The 23435-nt window shown below is 46.3% G+C and overlaps 1 protein-coding gene and 1 long non-coding RNA gene across 31 annotated transcripts in view; one reads left to right on the forward strand and one right to left on the reverse strand.

Annotated features, from left to right (window-relative positions):
• MKNK1-AS1 (MKNK1 antisense RNA 1) overlaps positions 1-7673 on the forward strand; it is a 31560-nt gene extending 23887 nt beyond the window's left edge. Inside the window, exons 6-8 of the long non-coding RNA NR_038403.1 lie at positions 930-994; positions 5624-5715; positions 5900-7673. This is a non-coding gene — a long non-coding RNA (MKNK1 antisense RNA 1). The remainder of the gene's footprint in view (positions 1-929; positions 995-5623; positions 5716-5899) is intronic.
• The window catches only part of MKNK1 (MAPK interacting serine/threonine kinase 1), a 46862-nt gene that overhangs the window by 5176 nt on the left and 18251 nt on the right, over positions 1-23435 (reverse strand). For 9 of the 30 annotated variants that reach the window (NR_146512.2, NM_198973.5, NM_001377373.1 and 6 more), the window contains exons 3-10: positions 20646-20747; positions 17948-18045; positions 13993-14072; positions 12365-12438; positions 9481-9585; positions 5861-5916; positions 2459-2554; positions 67-261 (exon numbers count right to left, since the gene is read on the reverse strand). Coding sequence is in view for 26 of the 30 variants with exons in the window: in XM_047433024.1 (XP_047288980.1) it covers positions 67-261; positions 2459-2554; positions 5861-5916; positions 9481-9585; positions 12365-12438; positions 13993-14072; positions 17948-18045; positions 20646-20747 (806 nt within the window). In the remaining 4 variants the exon portion in view is untranslated. The other 21 variants (NM_001377341.1, NM_001377337.1, NM_001377342.1 and 18 more) reach the window with 13 other exon arrangements.

Raw genomic sequence — 23435 nt, forward strand, 5'->3', positions numbered from 1 at the left:
TTGGCATCCCCCAACCACACTGACCCCTAGCAGGGTCTACGCAGTGCTCCCTGGGGCCGCACTCACCTGGCACACCCTGCAGACCTCGCCCCGGTCCCAGCCACAGTCGGCCCCGCAGTGACCCACGAAGGGTGGGTAGCCACTCAGCATGATGTAGAGGACCACGCCCAGGCTCCACAGGTCACAGCGCTTGTCGTAGAATGTGGCCTGGTCCGTGAAGACCTCCACTACCTCAGGGGCCATGTATTCTGCAGAGCCACACTGTGGGGGCCAGGGTTGGGGGAGGGGGAGATGGCAGAGAACAGAGAGGCTTAGTTACAGCAGAGGGGATGGCAGAGAGCAGACTGTGATGGGACTGGAGCAGGAGGCTGGAAGGATGAGATACAGATCAGGAAGGCCAGCCAGTGAGCCGCCTGATGCCACCAAGGCATCTGCAGACTGAGCTCCATCATTTTCCATCATCCAGAGGAGCAGTTCAGGTCACCTTATCCTTCCAGTTCCTCCTCCAGTAGGCAAAGACCCTTGGCCAAGAAGTTCCAGGAATCTCCCCCTGCTTCAGCTTCCTATAAACAGATATTTCATGTACAGGTACTTAAATGCACCAAGAATGTGGCTCTGGAAGGAGATCCAGTTCCACACAGCAAGATTTCTTAAAGTGAATCCTGTCGTGCTCCCCTGCTAGCTCAGAGCAGGAAGTGTAACAATTAAGAGACCGTCAAAGCTACAAAGCTCTTAGAACAAATCCAACCTTCCCACCCCTCCCATTTATAGATGGCAAGGGCAAGGCCAAGAACGGGACAGGGATCTGTTTGAGCACATCAATGGCAGCCCTAGGACCAGAATCCAATATTCCTTTCTCTCACCCTTGTGTAGAAAGCGGCTGATAGGAATAAAACACGTTCTTTTTGCTCCACTCTTCATTATTTCAGGCTCACCAAGAAACAACCACCTCCCGCCTCCACACACCCTGCAAAACTAATTTGACTGAAAGATGGTAAGTGTTCTCAAGAGAGGATATTTTCTTTGTTATTGTCAATTAGAATTAATGACTTTGAAAACAAGGTAGTCCAGTGTGTTAGAAGCTAAGAAAGAAACATTCCTGATAATGTTGTTTAGAATAAGATACAACACAGGCATATTAAATATGCCCTTAAAGGGCATGTCTTAAAAGGGTTATTAGGGGCCAGGCGTGGTGGCTCACGCCTGTAATCCCAGCACTTTGGGAGGCCGAGGCGGGTGGTTCACAAGGTCAGGAGATCGAGACCATCCTGGCTAACATGGTGAAACCCCGTCTCTACTAAAAATACAAAAAATTAGCCAGGCGTGGTGGCGGGCGCCTGTAGTCCCAGCTACTCGGGAGGCTGAGGCAGGAGGATGGCATGAACCCAGGAGGCAGAGCTTGCAGTGAGCCGAGATCACGCCACTGCATTCCAGCCTGGGCAACAGAGCAAGACTCTGTCTCAAAAAAAAAAAAAAAAAAAAAGGGTTATTAGGAAAATTTACTTGTGAAGCATACAAATCTCAAAAGAATCATAATTATACTCTATTAGTTATACAAGAGATGTTTTAGGAAGAAGTAGCTCCAAGCAGCACCATCTGGTCATGAAATGTGAAATCAGAGAAGCAAACAGGCTAACTTGGCCAAGCGATCCCATGTGCATATAGCCTGAGACCTCACAGTTCCCACCACAGAGAGACTATCCTGTCCAGTCAGGGAGAACAGCTCTCCATCCCCCATTACAAGGGGGCTGCGCTGTGCCTTCAGCAGTGGGAATAGGACTTACAGAACTACCCAAATGCTCATATGCAAAAGGGCTGGCCTGGGAGTAGGGTCCATTTTCACCTGGGTCAGGAGTCAGGGCTCAGCCTGTGTTTTTTTTATTGTTTTTTTTTTTTTTTTTTTTTTTTTTTGAGACGGAGTTTTGCTCTTGTTGCCCAGGCTGGAGTGCAATGGTGCTATCTCGGCTCACCGCAACCTCCACCCCTCGGGTTCAAGCGATTCTCCTGCCTCAGCCTCCCAAGTAGCTGGGATTACAGGTGCGCGCCACCATGCCTGGCTAATTTTGTATTTTCAGTACAATGGGGTTTCTCCATGTTGGTCAGGCTGGTCTCAAACTCCTGACCTCAGGTGATCTGCCTGCCTCAACCTCCTAAAGTGCTAGGATTACAGGCATGAGCCATTGCAAACGGCCAGCCTGTGCTTATAGATATAATTTGTCTCTTCATCAGCAGAGAGGACCCAACCCAACTAACAGTCCAAGTGTCAGTTTCGTTAGCAACTAAGGGGTCAGGGGAGGCTTGAGAGCCACGAACACAGAGCAGCAAGCAAAATGATCACTCAGGCAGCAGGAAGATAGGTCCACTTGGTTTTCCATCCTTAACCCTCTGTTCTGGACCTCCCAGCTCTGGATCAGGGAAACACTCCAAATACTTAGGAGCCCAGAGGAAGCATACGTACTGGGGTGGTCAGCTCTGGTGTGGTTATGGGGGTACAGGAGTTGTTCAGTTTCATCCCACTGCCCAAGTCAAAGTCACAGATTTTCACTGGAGACACCTGAAAAGGAAAACAGAAGACAGGGTCACAGATATAAGAAACTACGGGGCAAGAGGAGCCAGGCATGGCTGTACGGGTGCATGGCTCCGTGGCTGTCACACCGCAGCTGGTTTTGTCAGGTCATGTTTGCTCTCCGGAGGTTAACAAGAAGTCCCCTGAGGATTTCTTCCCAAGTGTCTTATTCCCTGAGCTCTCTTATTTCCCATCTAAGGGAAAAATGGGTGGACTATTTGGTGTCAGATTATTGTGAACTCAGACTAAAGGAAGTATGGAACTCTTGCTGGCAAATGATGGTACAGGTTGCAGCACAGCAGCTAGGGAAGTTACTGTGTACTCCTGAGAGACAGACTTCTTGCAGCCCATTCAGTGGAGTGTAAAGGAGCTTGCAGTAAAACCTCTGACCGCCTCAGGTGGCTTAGGGTGACCAACTTGTCTTGGGTGGCTTGCTTGGGACTTGATCAGTTTAAACACGGAAACTCCTGCGTTCCAGGAAACCCCTCAAGCCTGGGAAAACTGGGATGGTTGGTCACCGTAGGTGGCATCAACACAGTAACCAAGTCCACCAGAACTGGATGCTGTGCCTGAGACCACAGACAGGTGCCTCATCTCTGGAGCCAACCAGGAAGGCAGTTTGGGTGCACACATGAGAATGGATGAGAATGGCCTACATGGCATGTAAGCAGCACAGCGAGTGAACTAAATGCTGGTTCTCTGAGACCCATGTCCTTGCCGGGAAGCCTGGGCAAGTCCCTCGACTTCTTTCTCCCCTTCCTTCCTCCCTCCCCTTTTCTCTATTTTTTCTTCTTTTCTTTTTCCTTTAGCCTCTTATTAGTGGTAAAATATAAAGCATAAAATATGAGATTTTAGCCATTTTTAAGTAGACAGTTTAGTGGTATTAATTAAGTACATTCACAGGGTTGTGCAACCATCACCACGATCTGTTTCTAAAACTTTTCCATCACTCCAAACAGAAACTCTATACGCATTAAGCAATAACTCCCATTCTTTCTTCCCCTAGCCCTGGGTAACTTCCAATCTGACTTTATTAATTAAGACTTTCTGTCTTTATTAATTTGCCCATTCCAGATATTTCATATAAGTAGATTTACACAATATTTGTCCTGTTATGTTTGGCTTATTTCACTTAGCATAATGTTTTCAAGGTTCATTCATGTTGCAGCATGTATCAAAACCTCATTCCATTTTATGGCTGACTAGTATTCCATTGAATGTATGTACCACATTTTGTTTATCTGTTCAGCTGCTGATGACCACTTGAGTTGTCTCTACCTTTTTGGCTGTTGTGAACAATGCTGTAATGAATACTGCTATACAAGTATCTGTTTTCAATTGTTTTGGGTAATACCTAGGAGTGGAATTGCTGGGTCATATGGTAATTCTGTGTTTAGCCTTTGAGGAACCGCCAAACTTTTCCACAGAAGCTGCACCATTATATAATCTCACCAGCAATGTATGAGGGTTACGATTTCTCCATAACCGTAACAACACTTACTATTTTCCATTTTTTAAATTACAGCCTACCTAGTAGTATGTGGTGGTATCTCATTGTGGTTTTGACTTGCATTTCCCTAATGACTAAGGATGTTGAGCATCTTTTCATGTACTTGTTGGACATTTGTGTACCTTATTTGGAGAAATGTCTGTTCAAGTCCCGTGTCCATTTTTAAATTGGTTTGTCTTTTTGTTGTAGAGTTTTAGGAATCCTTTATATATTTTGGATATTAAACCTTGACCAGATATATGATCTGCAAATATTTTCTCACATTCTGTAGATTGTCTTTTCACTTTCTTGATAGATAATGTCCTTTGAAACTTAACCTCTCTTTTTCTTAAGAGACAGGGGTCTCACTATATCACCCAGGCTGGCCTCAAACTCCAGGCTCAAGCAATTCTCCTACCTCAGCCTCCTGAGTAGCTGGGACTACAGGCATGCAACCGCTGTGACCAGCTAATTTTTAAATTTTTTGTGGAGATGGGGTCTCGCTTTGTTGCCCAGGCTGTTCTTAAGCTCCTGGCCTCAAGGGATCCTCCTGCCTCAGCCTCCCGAAGTGTTGGGATTATAGGCGTGAGCCACTGCCTGGTCCCAATTATTCCTCTCTTTCGCCTTGCCTTTCCTCACGTTCTTGTTATGAGACAGAATCTCTGCTGCCCAGGCTGGAGTGCAGTGGTGCAATCATGGCTCACTGGCTATACATGTTTCCTAACTTGAGTTTCAGTTTCCTCGTCCATAAAATGAAGGTAATAATAGTATCTACCTCATGATATTTCATAAACACTAAATAAATATAAGTGCCTGGCACAATGTAAGCACTCAAGAAGTGTTCACTGTAATTATTAGTAGTAATCATCATAATAATGATAAATTATAAAGGTCTACGACAGAATCAGTGACAGAAGTCACAAGATCTTATTTGAGCGAATCCATTATTATTCCCCATAAAAGAGTTGTGAGTAGCAGACTGACTCATTCATTCAAGGCCACCCCTTATTTATGAGCCGCGGCTTCATCCAGACCACAATATATATGCTCTTGAATACACACATGTATATACACGCAGAGCTGTGAACGTGGGCCCCAACACCACCAGTGCCTAAATCTCTCCTAATAAACACAGAATTTGTCAAATTCATACACTTCCGTTTACTTAAAGAGATCTGCTTCACATAAGATTAAGTTGTTTGGCTGGGCATGGTGGCTCACGTTTGCAATCCCAGTACTTTGGAAAGCCAAGGCAGGTGGACTGCTTGAGCTCAGGAGTTCGAGACCAGCCTGGCTAACATGGTGAAACCCCTGTCTCTACTAAAAATACAAAAATTAGCCAGGTGTGGTGGCACATGCCTGTTGTCTCAGCTACTTGGGGGGCTGAGGTGGGAGAACCACTTGAGCCTGGGAAGTCGAGGCTGCAGTGAGCTGTGATCATGCCACTGCATTCCAGCTTGGGTGGCAAAGTGAGACCCCGTCTCAAAAAAAAAAAAAAAGTATTTACGACTTCCATCAACTGATATAAAGATAGATGCATTGGACTAGAAAATATTAATTTTGTGCAGGTCTCATATATTTTCCAAACTCTCAGGCTTACATCAATCACACTGATGATCAAGAGCGAAGAAAGGACGAGGATGGGCAGAAACATCACACAGTAAGTGTAACATTCTCACATGTCCAAGACGATCAGTTCAAGTTGGTGTCTGAGGCCAACGGAACTGCTAACAATCCATCCTGAAAGCAAGGGTGGCTTCCTCGGTAAGTATAAACTATAACATTCCAAATCAGGCCCAAAGTACCTTTTCTGGAGATTCACACAATATATTTTCTGGTTTCAGATCACGATGAGCAATGCCTGACATGACAAAGAGCAAAAAAATGGTTAACATATGCAGATAATTATCAAACATTCCACACACAATTAATTTTTTCCAAATGCTGTAGTTCGCAGATTAATTCCCAATTATGGTACATTAAAAAATCAACGAGCTGCAGGAGGCAGAAGTAACCAGCGACACAAACCAAAAGCACAGTTGATTCTGCGGGTTCTTTTGAAGAGGAGGCTTTAGAAGTCTGGCAGGGATAAGAAGGGCTAAATGAATCCCAGCCAGCCTACCCCTCAGTACCACAGTGACCACCAAGAAGAAGGCCTAATGCAGAGCAGAGCAGAGAGCTCTGCAAACGGCAATGCTTGGAACAGCAATGCAGAAATAATTAGTGCCTTGTTTAAGAGCATCTCAGGGGGCTTAACTGCTCTACCTCATTTCTTCTTGTGTGGCCGATTTAAAAAAAAAAATTCCTTCAGTGCGACTGTCTGAATGTTCAGAGGAGCAAGTGTTAGTTACCAAATCTCCCAAAGTGACCTATTCCCTTCTCACCTGCTTTGCATGTCTAAGGCAGCCCTGCCAGCAGCAGAGCAAAGACCGCTTTGGCACCAGGATGCTGTTATTTTTGTTTTTTAAAATAGAGATGGAGTCTCGCTATAGCCAGGCTGTTCTTGAAATCCTGGCCTTAAGCAATCCTCCTCCCTTGGCCTCCCTAAGCATGGGGATTACAGGTGTGAGCCACCTCGCTAGGCCCACTGAGGGTTGCTGTTTTTAAGAGAAAACCTCTGCACTTTGGCCAGGCCTCCTGAAGGCGACTGGAGATAGCAGCTTAGCCCATGAGGGGTTAACCTGCTGACCTGGCCAAGAAGGCACCTCGGGGAGAGCCCTCTTCTAACCAAAGAAAGGGACAAAGAACTAACTCTGGGTCATGGTGTTTTGGTGGAGGACACAGAAACCTCCCTTTTGTCTTTCCTTCCACAGCACATGCAGCACAGAGACAGGGCTGGAAGGCTGAGCAAGAGTCAGAGCTACAGTTGGAAGTATTGGAAAGCGGCAGCGGATTCTCGGGGTGATGGGAAAAGCAAAATCTGCTTCACTAAAACTCCGTCGGTGATCAACTTTTTCAGCAGTCCTCCGATTCCCGACTAGAAGGCAAAAGCCTGGCCCAGGCCACGGGAGGCACTTCACTAAAGAAGAAAAACCTGAGCTCCAGCAAGCTCAGTAACTTCATCAGTCACCTAATTGAACGAGAACCCAGAGCAACTCAGTCCAGGCTGCACAAATTGAGTAGCACTGCTCTGCAGCTCGCTGCACTAAAAGTGGAAGATATTTTCCATTACAGCAAGTGCTCCCACAGAAGGATCACGAGCCACACACGGAGCCTTACTCTCCAAATAGGCGCCCATGGCCCAGTCGTCCCTTAGCCTAAGAACTCAGAGAGCCAGGCTGTAATAATGGGGCTGCCGTGTGAGCACAGCAGCCATCGAGCTGCTCCGGTTCATTTCCCAGAGGTTGAGCTGCAGTGTGTCCAGTATTTAAAAGTATGGAACTTGTTTCAGGGCTGACCCATTCTTGCCCAATTCATCTTCCCCGTGTGAAGTTATTTAGCAAACAGCCAAGTTCAGCTGGAAATCGTTTTTCATCCCCTCCAACTTCTAGTCACATGGGCAGCTGGCCAGCTACATGTTAACAAGCGCCTCAGAACTCCTAAGACACCACCGGCCTCTGTTCCCTTCAGTGCATTCTTGTAAATAAATAAATAATAAAACCTGCCTTTACCACCCCCTCCAAGGTGTGGATCTTGTAAAAAGCGTGACCCAGTTTTGCAATCTACAGAGGCAGCTTGGGGAGCAGTTGTAAATCTTTGTCAGGCAGGTGTTACCTCTATGCATCCCAGCTTTCAGAAACAGAGCTGATGCTATTCATCATGCTGCGGAAGGTACAGACACCCCCTTCTAGTTTTCATCCTAGGTGCAAGTCAGGGCCCCAACATGGGCACTGTCAGTATGCAGACCTCTTTCAGCCACTGGAGGAGGGAGGTGGGGTCAATGAACCTGAACCTCCTGGACATGCGCCACACTGGTCTGCACCGGATTGTGGGCACCAGGTGGGATGTGTGAGTGGCATGCCTACCACTGGTCCCGGGCACCCACAACCAACATGGCTGGCCAACATCCGCAACAGCAGAGGGGGCAGACCTAAGTCACAAGTTATTCATTTCACTCCCACCCCCAACAGGCAGAATGCTTTAAGGGAATTAATATTAGGAATAAAAATGCTTTCTTCCTGGTGGGAGGTGAGGATGGAGGAAATCGTTATTTATTGAAGAACTATGACATACCAGGAACTATGCTCCATCTATGCTGCACATATACAATACAAACACAAGATACACATTTTTCATCTATAAAAAGCTTAGAATAGTGCCTAGCACATACCAAGTGCTATATAGTGTTAACTACAGTCGATGATGTTATTATCTCAAATTCTCACCATAGGGTAGGCATTATTACTGAGAGAACACATAGCTAGAAGAAAAGTGAAACCAGAATTCATTTTTTCCAGGGTACTGCTGTTAGGCAAATTTAAAAAAAAGTATGTAATAGTCAAACAGATTTATGGAAATGTAAAAACAATTTGTGGAAAGATTTAATTCACTACAAAAGTTCCTGAATAATCAGTCATAGGAAAGGGGCTGTAACCTGAAGCGTAAATCAAATACTAGTAACCTGTGAGTTACCAATGTGCTTTTCAACAGATACCTCAAATGTACATGTTAATAGAAAAGTATAAGCTGGGCACAGTGACTCACACCTGTAATCCCAGCACTTTGGGAGGTTGAGGCAGGAGGATCGCTTGAGCCCAGGAGTTTGAGACCAGCCTGGGCAACAGAGGGAGACCCCATCTCTACAAAAAAATACAAAAATTTCCAGGTGGTGGCACACACCTGTAGTCCCAGCTACTTGGGAGGCTGAGGTGGGAGGATCACTGGAGCCCAGGGAGGTTGGGGCTGCAGTGAGCCCTGATGGCGCCATAGCACTCCAGCCTAGGTGACAGAGAGAGACTTTGTCTAAAAAGGAAAAAAAAGGAAAAAGAAAAATAGATTTTTCATTTACTGTGAACAAGATATATTAAACTACATATATCCTATCATGCCAATTTTGAAAAGAGACAGAGGTGATGTATATTTTAAGACTAGAAGGAATAACATCAAGATATTCACACTAAGAAGGTTGTATTGTGTATGAGCTTTATATTCCTCACACGATAAGAATCTAAGAAAAGAAACATCATCCACACACAGTCACACATACCCTGTTCAATGTGAAATTTATTCTTTCTCCTCCCTGCTCTTTCTCCTGTATCCCTGTGCTGCTCAACAGCTTCACCACCCACCCACCATCCGCAGCATAAGCCTAGGAGCCATCCTGGACTGTTTCTCCCTCAACTCCCATGGGTGAGCATGTTCACACCTCAAGCTGCCTTCCAGCCACACCATCTCCTGCACCAGCCCTCTGCCTGGCCTACCACCTCCCTTGGTACCCAGAGGCTGGCCAGCCCAACCCACCCACCAAGGCAAAGGCTGGGTTCACCTTTGGTATGCAGGAAGTCAAGGGCAGCAGCAACGTCCCGCACCACTCGGCTGGCTTCTCGCTCATTGAAGTGCTTTTGCTTCTGGATGTGGGCTAAGATGGAACCTGGGGAGCAGAGGGGACATAGAAGAATGCCTTTTTGGGCTCTAGTAAGTATAAGTTTTTTTTTTAGACGAAGTCTCACTCTGTTACCCAGGCTGGAGAGTAGTGGCACGATCTCGGCTCACTGCAACCTCCGCCTCCGGGTTCAAGCGATTCTCCTGTCTCAGCCTCCTGAGTAGCTGGGATTACAGGCAGGCACCACCATGTCCAGCTAATTTTTGTACTTTTTTTTTTTAGTAGAGATGGGGTTTCACCATGTTGGTCAGGCTGGTCTCGAACTCCCGACCAAGTGATCCGCCTGCCTCAGCCTCCCAAACTGTTGGGATTACAGGCGTGAGCCACTGCGCCTGGCCGTATAACTTCTTAGAGGCCAAGTTTTCCCAAGTTTGGAAAACTTGGGGTGGGGACATAGGGATTCATCGCTGACTCATCACTACCTGTCCAGCTCCAAGTGTGGGGCCTGGTACGGAGGAGGTACCAGCTTGTATGTCTGTTAAACAAAACTGGACTACTCTCTTCTGTACCTGTCTATGAGGAGCTCAGAAGCGAGAGAGAACAACTATAAATAGGGCCAAAAAACACTAATGATGCTGAGGCTGATTTGGCTTCTGCAATCAAAAGGAATAAAACTGAAGGCACTTGGAGCTGAGGGGGCCTTTCTGCAGCAACGTTTTCTCCCCTGCATCTGATCTCTGATCCAAACAAGAGCACAAACTTTCAAATGGAAATGCCACACCCTTGCCAGACATGTAAAGGCCTGGGAAAAGGGGGGAAAAATGGGTTTTCCGCCTGAGCTTTCCCATTCATTATTGTTTTGTTGGCAATGGCTAACATTTACTGAGTAGTTACTAGTGCCATGTGCTATGGAATACTCTTGAAATAAACTGTCTTATTCTCACCACAATTGGACAAAATGGGTAGTACACTTATTCTCGTTTTACAGAGGGAGATCCTGAAGCCAAAAAGAAAAATGGTTGAGCAACTTGCCCAAGATTACGCACCAGTAAGGGGTGAGGCCAGGACTTAGGCCCAGGGCGTCAGTCAGGCCTCCGAGTCTGTGCAGACATCCCCCAGCAGGACTTGTGGTCTGACTGCTGCAGGGATGGACTCTCTTGAGCCAACCACACTGGGTCTGGCCTCAATAAGCTACATTAAGTTTACTGATATGGCGACAGAGGATCCCATCTGCATGTAGCATTTCAAACATGTAATTAACAGTCAGTCATGTGTTATTGGGTGGTGCAGGGGCAGACACAGGCAGGAACATGTGGCTTGGCTTCATGTGGTTTATGTTTACTACTAGAAGCCAGCATTTCTGGGCTGAAGGTATTATCTCTCTGTCCTAAAAATGGCACATGTCTACTGTTTTTTAGGGGGGATGGGGAGGGCATGAGAGAAGGGGAAGAACTGCCAAAGATTGTTCGCTTGCCAGATTAAACAACGGATCCCAATGTGCTAGGGAACATTCCCAGAAAACCGGCTCATGACTAGGTCCTAGCTTGCTCTGCTGTAGTGAGCCTCGTTTCCAAATCTGTTAAAAGGAAAAGCAGAGAATAATGCTTTACATACTTTTTTTTTTTTTTTTTTGAGACAGAGTCTCACTCTGTTGCCCAGGCTGGAGTGTAGTGGTGCGATCTCGGCTCACTGCAACCTCTGCCTCCCAGGTTCAAGCGATTCTTCTGCCTCAGCCTCCTGAGTAGCTGGGATTACAGGCATGTGCCAGCACACCCAGCTAATTTTTGTATTTTTAGTAGAGCCGGGTTTCACCATGTTGGCCAGGCTGGTCTTGAACTCCTGACCTCAAGTGATCTGCCCACCTTGGCATCCCAAAGTGCTGGGATTATAGGCGTGAGCCACTGTACCTGGTCTACTCTACATACTTCTAAGACATCCCCCAGCATACCAAATTGTTTTAATAATATTAGCAGCCAACATTTATTGGGCCCTTAGTGCCTACCAGACACTGTCCTAAGCATTTCACATGAATTATCTCATTTAATCTTCACAGCAACCCAGTGAGGTAGGTGCTATCAATATCTCTATTTTATAGAAGGGAATATTGTTTAGAAAAGGTTAAGTGACTTGCCCAAGATCACATGGCTAGTAAGTGATGCAGCTAGACATAACATAAGCTTTAGCTGTGTTGGTTTCTAAAGCACGCTCCCTCAACCACCAAGCCCCTCCGTGTGGCCCTCCATGCAGTTCCAGACATCCCTGCAAGTGTGTCCTAAGATTGGGGGAGTGATGGGAAGGGAAAGGGTTTCTCTACCCCACCTCATTATGTCAGAAAAGCAACTTAAGTATACACCCCAGTGATTATGTGTGTGGGTGATGGCATCTTTCCATCTGAAGGATGGCACATTCTCAGGCTTCCCCTTTATCCTGGGTCTGTGTCCCAAACAATAGGACCCTCCTCTCCTCTGTTTTAGCCTTTCTAGACTTCGCAATGTATTTGAGAGCTTCCACCCCATAATTAATGTAGTTAAACAGTGAACATGTCAAAACGGGATTGATAAATCGATGACTAAATGTATCTATATATGACTCCTATTATAATGAAAAGGCATTTATAAAATACCCACACAGGTGACATTCTAAGCTCTGCAAAATGCTAATTATCATCCTTCCCTCCGGCCTCCCTTCTCCCAAATCAAGGGCAGTTTTTAAGTCCTTCATCCTTTTTATTAGCTTGACTCGTTTTGGAAGTCTCTGGGATTCATGATGGATGATCACCACCCTGGGTCTTAATCAGAAGTCCACACACATACTCAACGGTAAGTACCTCCTTGCAATTTCTCAAAGACCAAGTAAAACCTTGTGTCATCTTCAAAGAACTCAATCAGCTCCAAAATGTTCCTTAAATAGGGAAAATAGGAGGAGAGGGAAAAGGGGGGAAATGGTATTATATATTAAAGTCTACTTACAAATATACAATGAAAAAAATATACAACACCTGGTAGTGGGGCAGAAACCAACTTGAAATCAGAATGCTTATTAAAGACCCGCGTATGGAAGCAGCCAATGGTGTTAGCAAGATTCAGGTCACCTTATCTTTCCATAATGTTTAGTCTCTGGTGTTTTCACCAAGTCTGTGCTGTCAAACCCCAGCCCTAAAACCCACTAGGTAGAGTTATAAAAAAGTCCCGGTCACATTAAACTGAATAAAATCTGCAGCCGACTGGAAGCAATTGCGGCTAATAACACTGAATACTAGGTGTGTGTCCTGGAGGCAAGCAGCAAATAATTACTTGCCCTCCCTCTTGCCCATAAATCACGGGGCAGTATTTACATTGCCTGGAGAAAATGGAAACATCTGTCAAATGGACTTGGGGCCTAACATGGGCACCGCTAGACCCTAACTGCTAAGCGCTGCTTAATGAAACGGCCGCGTTCCTGGCCACTGTAGCACTTGTGGCCTTCCCCGGTGAGCACTCTCTGTCTGCCCGAGTATTTCAGTGCTCTGCCAACAAGGTCGTCTTGTAACTCAGTAGGGAAGCCACCAGCCTGGATATTGGAGGTGTTGTGGGCTTTTTTTCTTTTACAAAATAAAATAAACCAAGTAGAGTCTCTAATGCTGAACTAAGAAGCTGCAGGGCTGAAAATAAAAATCTGTCCCTCATAAAAAAAATGCTGACTACTTTGGGAGATATGAGGCTTTTACTAGTGTGAAGGCATCCAAATAAGATGGGCAAAATGGCCTAATTTGAAAGAAGATTGTGGAGGCAGTGCCTGGAGTTAAATCAACAGCAGCCCCCGTCCTCCAATCCTCCAAGCTTAATGACAAAGCCATCAATACCAGGCCACTGGCTCCCTGCTGACCCTACCGTGGAGGGAGAGAGGGGGAAGTGGAGTCTTAGAGGTGCCCCTGATTTAAAGCCACAGTGGGAGAGCTGCTCATTTGGAGCTGGTGGTGGGCAGAATGAACTGGGGCTAGAGATGAGCCGGACCCAGCTATCTGGAAGGTTCCAGGATCTTAGTGGTATCTGCACATATGTAAACATTCTAGGAGCAGAAACAGCAGCAAATATTCTTAACAGTTCTCCTCATCTTGGTATTAAGGCAAGTCCTTAAAGATTTCTACCAGGCAACACTCAGTCAACCTAGTTTCCACAGGTACCGAAAGAAATAAAACCCCATTTCCCCCCAACAACCACTGATTCAGATAGTTCATTCTTCTAACTTGCTTGAATTGATGATATTTACAGTATTTCAGAAGAGATAATAGCTCCTTTGCTGTTACTGCTGCTTTTCCTTTCTCTCCCTAACACTGAAAGGGGCGGAAGGAGGTACCTGCCTTGTGGGGACAGGAGTGAGAGCTAAATGCTGGAGTCAGGAGATGGTAAGAAATAGCCTCCTCTTCTGTGGCCAAGCGTCCCCCCAGAGAAGCAGCGAGAATCACATGATACTCACTTGTTTCCCTGACACTGATACAGCGTCTCCACCTCTCGAAACACCCTACTCCGACTGTGCCCTGCTTGTTTCTCGATGATCTGTGGGAAGAATAAAATCTGTCATGTACACCCACCTGACTTCCAAACAGCCCTTTGGCAGGAGTCCTCTGGGAGAATGCAAGGCCACACTCAGTCCAAATCCAGTGTCCAGCAGAAGTCTGGCCTAGGCCTTGGTGACACCGGCACTGTGGCTCTGTTGGCAAAGCAGCAGACTGGCCTCAGGGCTTTCCAGCTCAGCTGAGCCCATTCCACTCTGGCCAAGCACAACACCAAGGAAGTGAATGAGGCTGCTGCCCCCAGCTGCCCAGGGGAGACTGAGGCAGCCGGCAAGACAAAGAGCTACCTTACTCAGCTCCACCTCCTGTGGACACCTCTTTCTGCCTTAAGGGTAAGCATTTACTGCATCTACTGAAGGATCTTCTCATGCTGGAGGGAGAGGCTGATGCAGGACACCGTGGCGAGGAGCTAAAGCTTTGACACCCAGCTCAGAGGCTGCCTCCACGATCCCCCTGGCAGAAGTAGGCTCTTCCTCTTCTGAGAACTTACTCTCTGGCAGATACTGTGTTAAATGATTTATTTACGGCCGGGTGTGGTGACTCACACCTGTAATCCCAGCACTTCTGGAGGCTGAGGTGGGTGGATCACCTGAGGTCAGGAGTTCTAGACCAGCCTGGCCAACACGGTGAAACCCCGTCTCTACTGAAAATACAAAAAAATTAGCCAGGCGTGGTAGTGGGTGCTTGTAATCCCAGCTACTCAGGAGGCTGAGGCAGGATAGTCACTTGAACTGGGGAGGCGGAGGTTGCAGTGAGCCGAGATTGTGCCATTGCACTCCAGCCTAAGTAACAGAGAGACTCCATCTCAAAAAATAAATAAATAAATAAATAAATAAACAATAATAATTTATTTACATAATCTCAGTTGACCTTTATGACAACATCAAAAGATAGGGAGGTATGAAACATTTGCCTGCAGTCCAGAGCTGACTCCTAAGCCCTTGCTATCCCATACCTGCTTAGATGCTCTAACTTCTTCGAGGACCTGGAGGCTTTGTCTCTCCTGTGATACGGTGGGCTGCTCCCCCTCCACACTTTTACCTGAGATGCTTGTCAAATGCTGACTGAAGGAACAGATAAGCCAACAGATGGGAGGGTGGTTTCCAAAGGGACTGGCTGCCTCTGCAAAGCTCTCTGGACCCATCTGGAGCCTCAAACCACTGCACACCGAGCCTGTGAGCAAATCTGCAGAGCCTAGCTCTGCCTTACAGCTCCAACGTGCACAGTGGGCAGCACAATGACATCCTCTTCCTTCATTGAGACTTCAAACTTCTCCGATATGATGTGGCACAGACATCTGTGACCAACTGCAATTTTCTAAATAAGTGTGTCTGTTTGTAAACCACAGTGGGCCCATTATCTGAATGGAGAGGTGTAGTGCTGGGGAACAGAAGTGATTCAACTTCATTCCCCAAGCATTTCAGATCAAAGTCATGAAGAACTTTCTAGCAGGCAAGCCTTCCACAGCACAGTCTTCTCTGAGGAAGTAATGGGCTCTTGCTACTAGAGATGGGGGAGCAGAACATGGACAACTATCTGGGGAGTCAGAGGAAATTCAGGGTTATCTTGAAATTCCATCCCAACCTTGAGAGTCTAGGATCAGCTGGGTGCCTATAGGAAAAGCTGTAATAAGCTAAGTATTGTGGGGCCATGTTGGGAGAAGTAGCCCATCTCTAGGGAGCTTTGAAAGAGTAGGGGAGAGAAGAAACATGGGCAGAACTGCTGAAACCAAGGAATTGCCAAGCCAGAGTCCAGTGTTTGCCTCAAAGATGCCAGGGGGGATGTGGAGGAAGGGCCAGGTTTTCCTCCCATTATCCAACCTTGAAGAAATATACCTCTCATCCATAAATGTATTGAAACCTTTGAAAATCAGTTTATGTTTGTGGTTTTTACCGCATTTAGACAGATATATCAATTTTTTTTTTTTTTTTTTGAGACAGAGTCTCCCTCTGTTGTCCAGGGTGGAGTGCAGTGGCACCATCCTGGCTCATTGCAACCTTTGCCTCCTGGGCTCAAGTGATCCTCCCACTTCAGCCTCCCAGGTAGCTGGAATTAGACGCACATGCCACCACACCAGGCTAACATTTTTTTTTTCTTTTTGTGACAGAGTCTTGCTCTGTCGCCCAGGCTGGAGTGCAGTGGTGTGATCTCGGCTCACTGTGCAACCTCTACCTCCCGGGTTCATGGGATTCTCCTGCCTCAGCCTCCCAGGTAGCTGGGATTACAGGAATGCACCACACCCGGCTAATATTTTTGTATTTTTAGTAGAGATGGGTTTCACCATGTTGGCCAGGCTGGTCTTGAATTCCTGACCTCAGGTGATCAGCCCGCCTCAGCCTCCCAAAGTGCTGGGATTACAGGTGTGAGCCACATGCCTGGCCTAATTTTTCTATTTACACTTAGGCGTATGTTTTAAAAATCACTTGTAATTTATACTGAGCTGTTTCCCAAAAGAAATTAAGACAGTGCTCTTGTTACCATGTGAAGCAATACTCCAGCTGAAAGGAACGTGGCTTAGCAGACTTGCTCAACCTTCTAACCCGCAGCTGGGACTGTGGAAAGTTGGTTCAAAGAAGAGAAAACATTTCCTTCAGGAGCCCACTGGGCTGGGATTGCCAATGTGAGGTGGCATTTGACCTGGTGGCTCAGGTGGGTGATTTGAAATCAGCTTGGATTTAAAAAGACCCTTTCTCTAGGTCAGTTAGTCCTCAAACTTTGGTGGCTATGAGACTCAAGTGGGGAATCTGGTCAAGCCACAGAGATCCAGACCCTATCCTACATCTGGAAACCTGGATCTGTGTGTGCTTTGTTAGAGCTCTAAGGGCTTCTAACACATAGTAGCATTCACAACTGCCCTTCCTACAACAGTAGTCCTCAAGGATTAGTGAGTGTCAGAGTCACCAGGAGAGTTTGTTAACATTTGTATTGCTGGGCCCACCCCTGTTTCTGAGTTGGTACTTCTCAGGTAGGGCCAGGTAGCTTCTATTTCTAACAAGTTCCCAAGCGATGCTGAGGCTGGTCCAGGGCACACATTTTGAGAACCACTGCTCAAGATCCAGCTCTTCTTCCATGTGGAGAGGGCAAGTGGAGGCACAGAGGGGTGACATGAGCCACTCCAAGGCCTTACAGCTAATTAAAGGCAGCAATGAGGCCAGAAGCCACTTCTCCTGCCCCAAAACTGAGTGCTCAGTCGCTTTAGTTTTGTTTTCTTCTTTTAATTTTTTTTTTCTGAGACATCATTCAGATGTTACCAAATCAGTCACCTTAGTTTTTAATCCTCACTATCATGCTAACATCTAACACTTGGATAGCATTTTGTGACGTGTAAAGTGTTTCCACCTCTCCCAGGATATTTTAATTTTCATCTTCATAACTGCCTCAGGAGACTGAAGGGCAGGTATCATCATTTAGAGATGTAGGAACTGAGGCTTACGGACATTTGATGACTTGCCCAAAGTCAAACAGTTATAGTTTGTCAAAATAGATATTCAGGTAGGCCTTCTAATTCCAAATCTGGTTGTCCACTCCCTGAAGCTGACTTCATTTGTCAGAATAATGAGAAACTTACTATGAGCCAGGCATTGTGCTAAGCACTTTACCTATATTAACTTATTTAATCCTCACAACAATTCTACATAGGTTCTAGTATTATACCCATTTTACAGATGAGAAAACTGAAGGACAGAGAAGTTAAGTAACTTGCCCGAGGTACACAGTAAGTAGAGAAACCAAGATTTGAATCCAGTGAATACAGCTTCAGAGTCCCCATTCTTATGGAATATAACATTTATTTGGTTCAAGATGAGCTAGGAATGACTATTTGCAAAGTAAAGCCTGGCATTCAGCTGAGACACTCACTTTGACGGCATACTCTTTGCCATTCTGTAGGCTCACGGCACCTTGAACTTTGGCATAGGCTCCCTCTCCAAGCAATTCAGAGGTCAGCTTGTACATATCTAGAGGTGAAATGGATGAGAGGAATAACAAGATGAGTCACCCTACTGCAAGCTCAGATGGGAAGAACTTTTGTGGCTCAGCTTCCCTGATCAGACGACACAGGCACCCAATGACTCTAGCACTCAGTGACAAGGAAGACAAGTAGCTTTCCCAGCCACCTGAGGACCCAGTTTCTCAACAACAAGACCACATACAAGGCATCCTGTTCCTCATTTTAGCGATGAGGTTAGCAAAAGGGTCTCAATTCGGCACATACTTCCTGAATATCTACTATGTGCCAGACAGCATAACAGAGTAAGGAATAAAATAAAGGCCAGGTGCAGGGGCTTACACCTGTAATCCTAGCACTTTGGGAGGCCAAGCCAGGAGGATTGCTTGAGGCCAGGAGTTCAGAACCAATCTGGCCAACATAGCAAGACCCCATCTCTAAAATATATATACGCATGATCCCTCTCCTCTAAGGGTCGCAGTCCAGTGGGGAAGACAGACACATACACAGGTGACCCCAGAATAAACCAGGCATTGGTAAATACTATCACAGAGGGACAAAGTACAGTTAAAAAAAAAAGTTGGGGGAAGAAAGGGTTAAATCTGTTCAGAGAGGCTGGGCATGGTGGCTCACACCTGTAGTCCCGGCACTTTGGGAGGCCGAGGTGGGCAGATCAAGAGGTGAAGAAATCGAGACCATCCTGGCCAATGTGGGAAACCCCGTCTCTACTAAAAATACAAAAATTAGCTGGGTGTGGTGGCACGCGCCTAAAGTCCCAGCTATTTCGGGGGCTGAGGCAGGAGAATCGCTTGAACCCGAGAGGCGGAGGTTGTAGTGAGCCAAGATCGTGCCACTGCACTCCAGCCTGGTGACAGAGTGAGACCCCATATCAAAAAAAAAAAAAAAAAAAAAAAAAAAAAATTGGTCAGAGAATCTGGAGGATCATCAGAGGAGAAGTGGTATGATTTGAATGAATATTCATTTACTCATTTACTGAGCACCTATTATGTGCCAAGTTCTGTGTAAGCACTGGCTATACAAAGGAGAATAAAACACTGTTCTATTTTATACCCCATACATGGAAGTCATTGGAGGCTTCTGAGAAGTCTCCAGAAGTCACCCACAGGAAATAGAAGTAGGATGCAAAGGACACCTTGAGGTTTTTAGGGTACTGAGTCATAGTTGTTCTAACAGAGTAATAGACCTGGGTTAAAGGAACATCTAGATGACCTGCCCAAGCTCACAAAGAGCACAGCTCTTTGAGCCCCTTCCAAAGGAGGCTACATCTCCATCACAGCACTAGCTGCCTGACCTCATCCCCACTCGGCCTCCATTCTTCAGCCTTTTCCTCTTGAGGCACCTAGCATTGAAACCCACAGCCTGAGCAGAAGACATTTCAACCATGAATTAGATTTTATCACTCTCAGTCAGGAGAAGTCCTGTCATTGCACAAGCTGTCCTTAAAAATAGGAAGTACTCTCTTGTGTTAACTGAAAGAGCAAAAGAGCTGTTGATTAGGAAACTATTTGAATACCTTGGGATCTTTGTCTCTCCCCCATCCCCATACCCTGACACACACAGACACACACACACAGACACACACCCCTGCTGTTTGAGTTAAAGGCAAACAAAAAACCCCTGCTGAAAGTACCTTCTTGGTTCCATCACGGTTTGGTCTTTCAGTTGTTTATAAGAGCAGATGGCACACTGTTATTCGTAAGTGTTTTAAATGACATGCTTCTCACAATGGACACATTGGCATTAGCCCTTTACACATATCAGGATAGGTGGGTGGCTGGAGGTCCCATATTCCCAACCGATAAAGTGCTTGTTATTGGAACCACTTTACAGAACAGCCAATTCACTAGTGTGTCTGGAAGGCTGGAAGGAGGGACCAAGAGGCGAAGCTACTTCAGACCTCACAACGAAAGAAAACAAAACAGATGAAGTGGGGCACGTTACTCCTAGGAGTAGCTACTGATCCTCTTGGTGCTTTGCACAAGTGTCCAATCACCCCATCACATGCCCAGTGATAACAGGACCCACACTGAGCCTAGTGCCTCGCACACAGAGAGTGTCAAAAAATGTCTGATGACCCAACATCGTTTCTACTGAACACAACACGTATTCTTTAAAATGTAGTCAAACACACACAGCATAAGTAGCTACAATCTGAGAGACAAATTCTCTGCTTACAGGAGACTGAAGTTTCATTTGCGGCCATGGCCTTTGGTGTTTCTCTCTTCCTCTTATATAGTTCTATCTCTCAGCAGCCCCTCCAGGAATAGCTGAGGGAAGAATCACATCTGAAAAAAGGAAGACCCCAGGCAATGCCACTGATAGATGGGTCTTCCTGCTCCCTGAAAAGGAAGCAGTACCTGAGCCATTCACAGGAGGCCAGTGCATCATCTGAGAGCTTTTTCCATCCCTGCTCTCTTTCTGTAATGCCCTGTGTAAACTCCCTCATCCCCATCTTATCTCCCTACCACACAGATAACCACCATCTGGCTCTAACTTGACGCATTCTGTGATCGGACCTGTGGCTCCCGGGATGCTCCTCCCATGCTTGGGAAGCTGCAGGCCCAGATATAGGGAAGTTGTGTGACCAACCTTCAAACTTTCCTGGCAAGGAGTCAGTGGCCCGGCCCCTCCGCTTCTTCTTCCTCCTCCTGTCACCATCTGCGATGGGAAGGGGTTCGCTACTGCCCATCTCTAGGAGATAAGAGGAGATGTAAGGGAAACATCACTGTACTGATCAAGCTGTAAATTTACCCAGAAGGAAAAAAAAAAGGTAGTGGGGGAGGACCCAGGAGGTTTACACTGATGGTTTTTAAATATCTGTGAAGACTATTGATTTGTTTTGACCTAGGAGGAAAAACTAAAGGCAAAGCCATTATGGGAGATCATTAACTGTGGAAAGGAGCTCAGACAGGCAGGCTAGATTAAAAGAGGCCAGCGGAAGCCTGCTTTAACCAAGCTCATTAGCGCGTGGATTTAGATCTGCCACTGGTCAAACCATATTCCCCAAACAGAACAATGACTCCATAGGCAGAACCCCACCTGTGACATCCTCCAGCCTCAGCATCAGAAAGGCAAAACCGAGAGAGCTAGGCAAGAAGGGGGTTGGGAGTGGGGGACCATGCAGATGAGTCATAGGCTCAGCAACATCGCTATGGATGCACACAGGGCACAAATGGCCTGGAGTGGAGACAGCCTCTGTGAAGGTAGCAATAGGGCTGGGGTTCAAAATAGCCCCAAATTACTTCATGTCCAAGAGCACGGACTTGAGTGCCTATGGAGCCTACGGCATCCTCTCCTCCCATAGCTCCTCCATCGGAAGGGCTGCAGGTAGTGCCCATTCAGAAGTCGGCAGTTGACAGGTCTGTGCCAGGCTGCTGGATGAGGTCACTTATTGCAAAAAACCTTATTATCTTTCATTGGCAAGCACCTGGCTCCCAATCTTAAAAGGAGGATTTGTGAGGCAGGCATTCAGACACTGCACAGATTGGGCAGAAAAAGTCCGGATGGAAAGAATAAGCAGGACACTGAGATAGGAAAGAGAAAAGGAGGAACAGTGAACCAGTGCCCAATCACAGTCCTGTTTCTAAGACACTCTAGTATGGGCCTTTCCCTGTTAAAGATAAATTACTTATAGAACATGTCATGCCCCTGATCCAGAGTGGAGCTTTAATACTCTTTGCCTGCAGTTAGAAATAATAAGATTTCTCCGAAGTCTCTGGGTCTAAATCCCCACCAGCGTGATTAAACCTTTACATCCTTCTAAAATAGAGGCACTCGAGTGCTGATGGGGCATACGATGTGAGAGACTTTTAGACCAACCTTCAATAAACACAGGCTCTTGGTTGTTGGTGTTTTTTTTTTTTTTTCTTTCTTTTTTTTCTGAGAGCTTTTAAAATGGAAGCTGGTTCTTTGCCCATTGAGGGGAAAGGCCCACTCTCTTCTCAGAGGATCTGGCGGCATACGACCAGAGAAAGAGCAAGTCTGCTAGGAAGACTGATTAGTGCTCATGCAGGTCCATACACTGTTCTCAGACGCAAGTACGTGACAGCCATCCGGAGAGAGCACACAGGATGGCACTTTCAACACCACAATCCAGAAAGCATGGTTACGCAGCCAAGTGCCTGACAGCTCAATTTAGGCGCATTCTTCCATCCATTTTGGGGATCTGATGACAGCACATTTTAAATTATAGTTTAGAATGGGGAACAGATAAACACACAGATAAAAGAAATCCACAGAGCATCTCAAAATATAACTCTAGCCAAGAGCTTCAAACACAAGATATATCTGGGGACTGCAACACCCTATGAATTGAAAGAATTAAACATCTGGCTAGGCACCATGGCTCACGCCTGTAATCCCAGCGCTTTGGGATGCCGAGGTAGGCAGATCACTTGAGGTCAGAAGTTCGAGACCATCGTGGCCAACATGGTGAAACCTGTCTCTACTAAAAATACAAAAATTAGCTGGGTGTGGTGGCGGGTGCCTGTAGTGCCAGCTACTCGGGAGGCTGAGGCAGGAGAATCGCTTGAACCTGGGAGGCAGAGGTTGCAGTGAGCCGAGATCACGCCATTGCACTCCAGCCTGGGTGACAGAGCAAGATTCCGTCTCAAAAAAAAAAAAAAAAAAAAAAAAAAAAAAAAAAAAAAAAAAAAAAAAAAAAAATCAGCACCTCAACACCCACCCTCACCAAGGTAAATTAAAAGGAAAAAAGCTGCCCAAATGTATAACATGGTGAGAAATTCAGCAGAAATAAAACACAGGGTCACTCATCTTCAGGAGCTCAGGGAGGGGGTGCTGGCCATCGGGGCAGCAGGCTGAGAAGGAGGAACCATTGTCTCTCTCTCTTGCGCTGACCTTGAATGCAGTCCAGTGGCAACCCGTGTCTGCATCTATTTTCTCATCGGCACCGCAGGCCCAGTGCAGAGGAAACAGATTTGGGTTTCAGCTCTTTCTCCTTCCCCTGTCCACACTTTGATGGAGGGCCCCAGGACAAGCAAAACAGCCAAAAGACAGGCAGAGCAGAGGAGCAGCAAGAGGGCTGGAGGCATTATAATTCACAGGGGACACTCAGGCACACGACTCTAATGAGAAAACCCTGTTAGCGACAATTTATACTTGGTCTTTACCACAGCAGGGCTGAGGGAGCCGCTTGCACGAGAAGCATACCTCACAGCACCACCGCACACGTAACATTAGATTTTATGGCTTCACACACACACAAAGACAGAGTACCTGGTATATTCTGCATGGATTTCAATGAAAGAGGGTACGCCAGAAGGGACAAATGGTTAAGACTTTCCTTGGAAATGGAACTTGGAGAGTTGTTTCTGAAACTAGGAAGGAAAAAATGTAGGAAGATGGGTGAAGTGAAAGAAA

This window comes from Homo sapiens, chromosome 1 (assembly GCF_000001405.40).
Source record: "Homo sapiens chromosome 1, GRCh38.p14 Primary Assembly".
Classification (NCBI taxonomy): domain Eukaryota; kingdom Metazoa; phylum Chordata; class Mammalia; order Primates; family Hominidae; genus Homo; species Homo sapiens.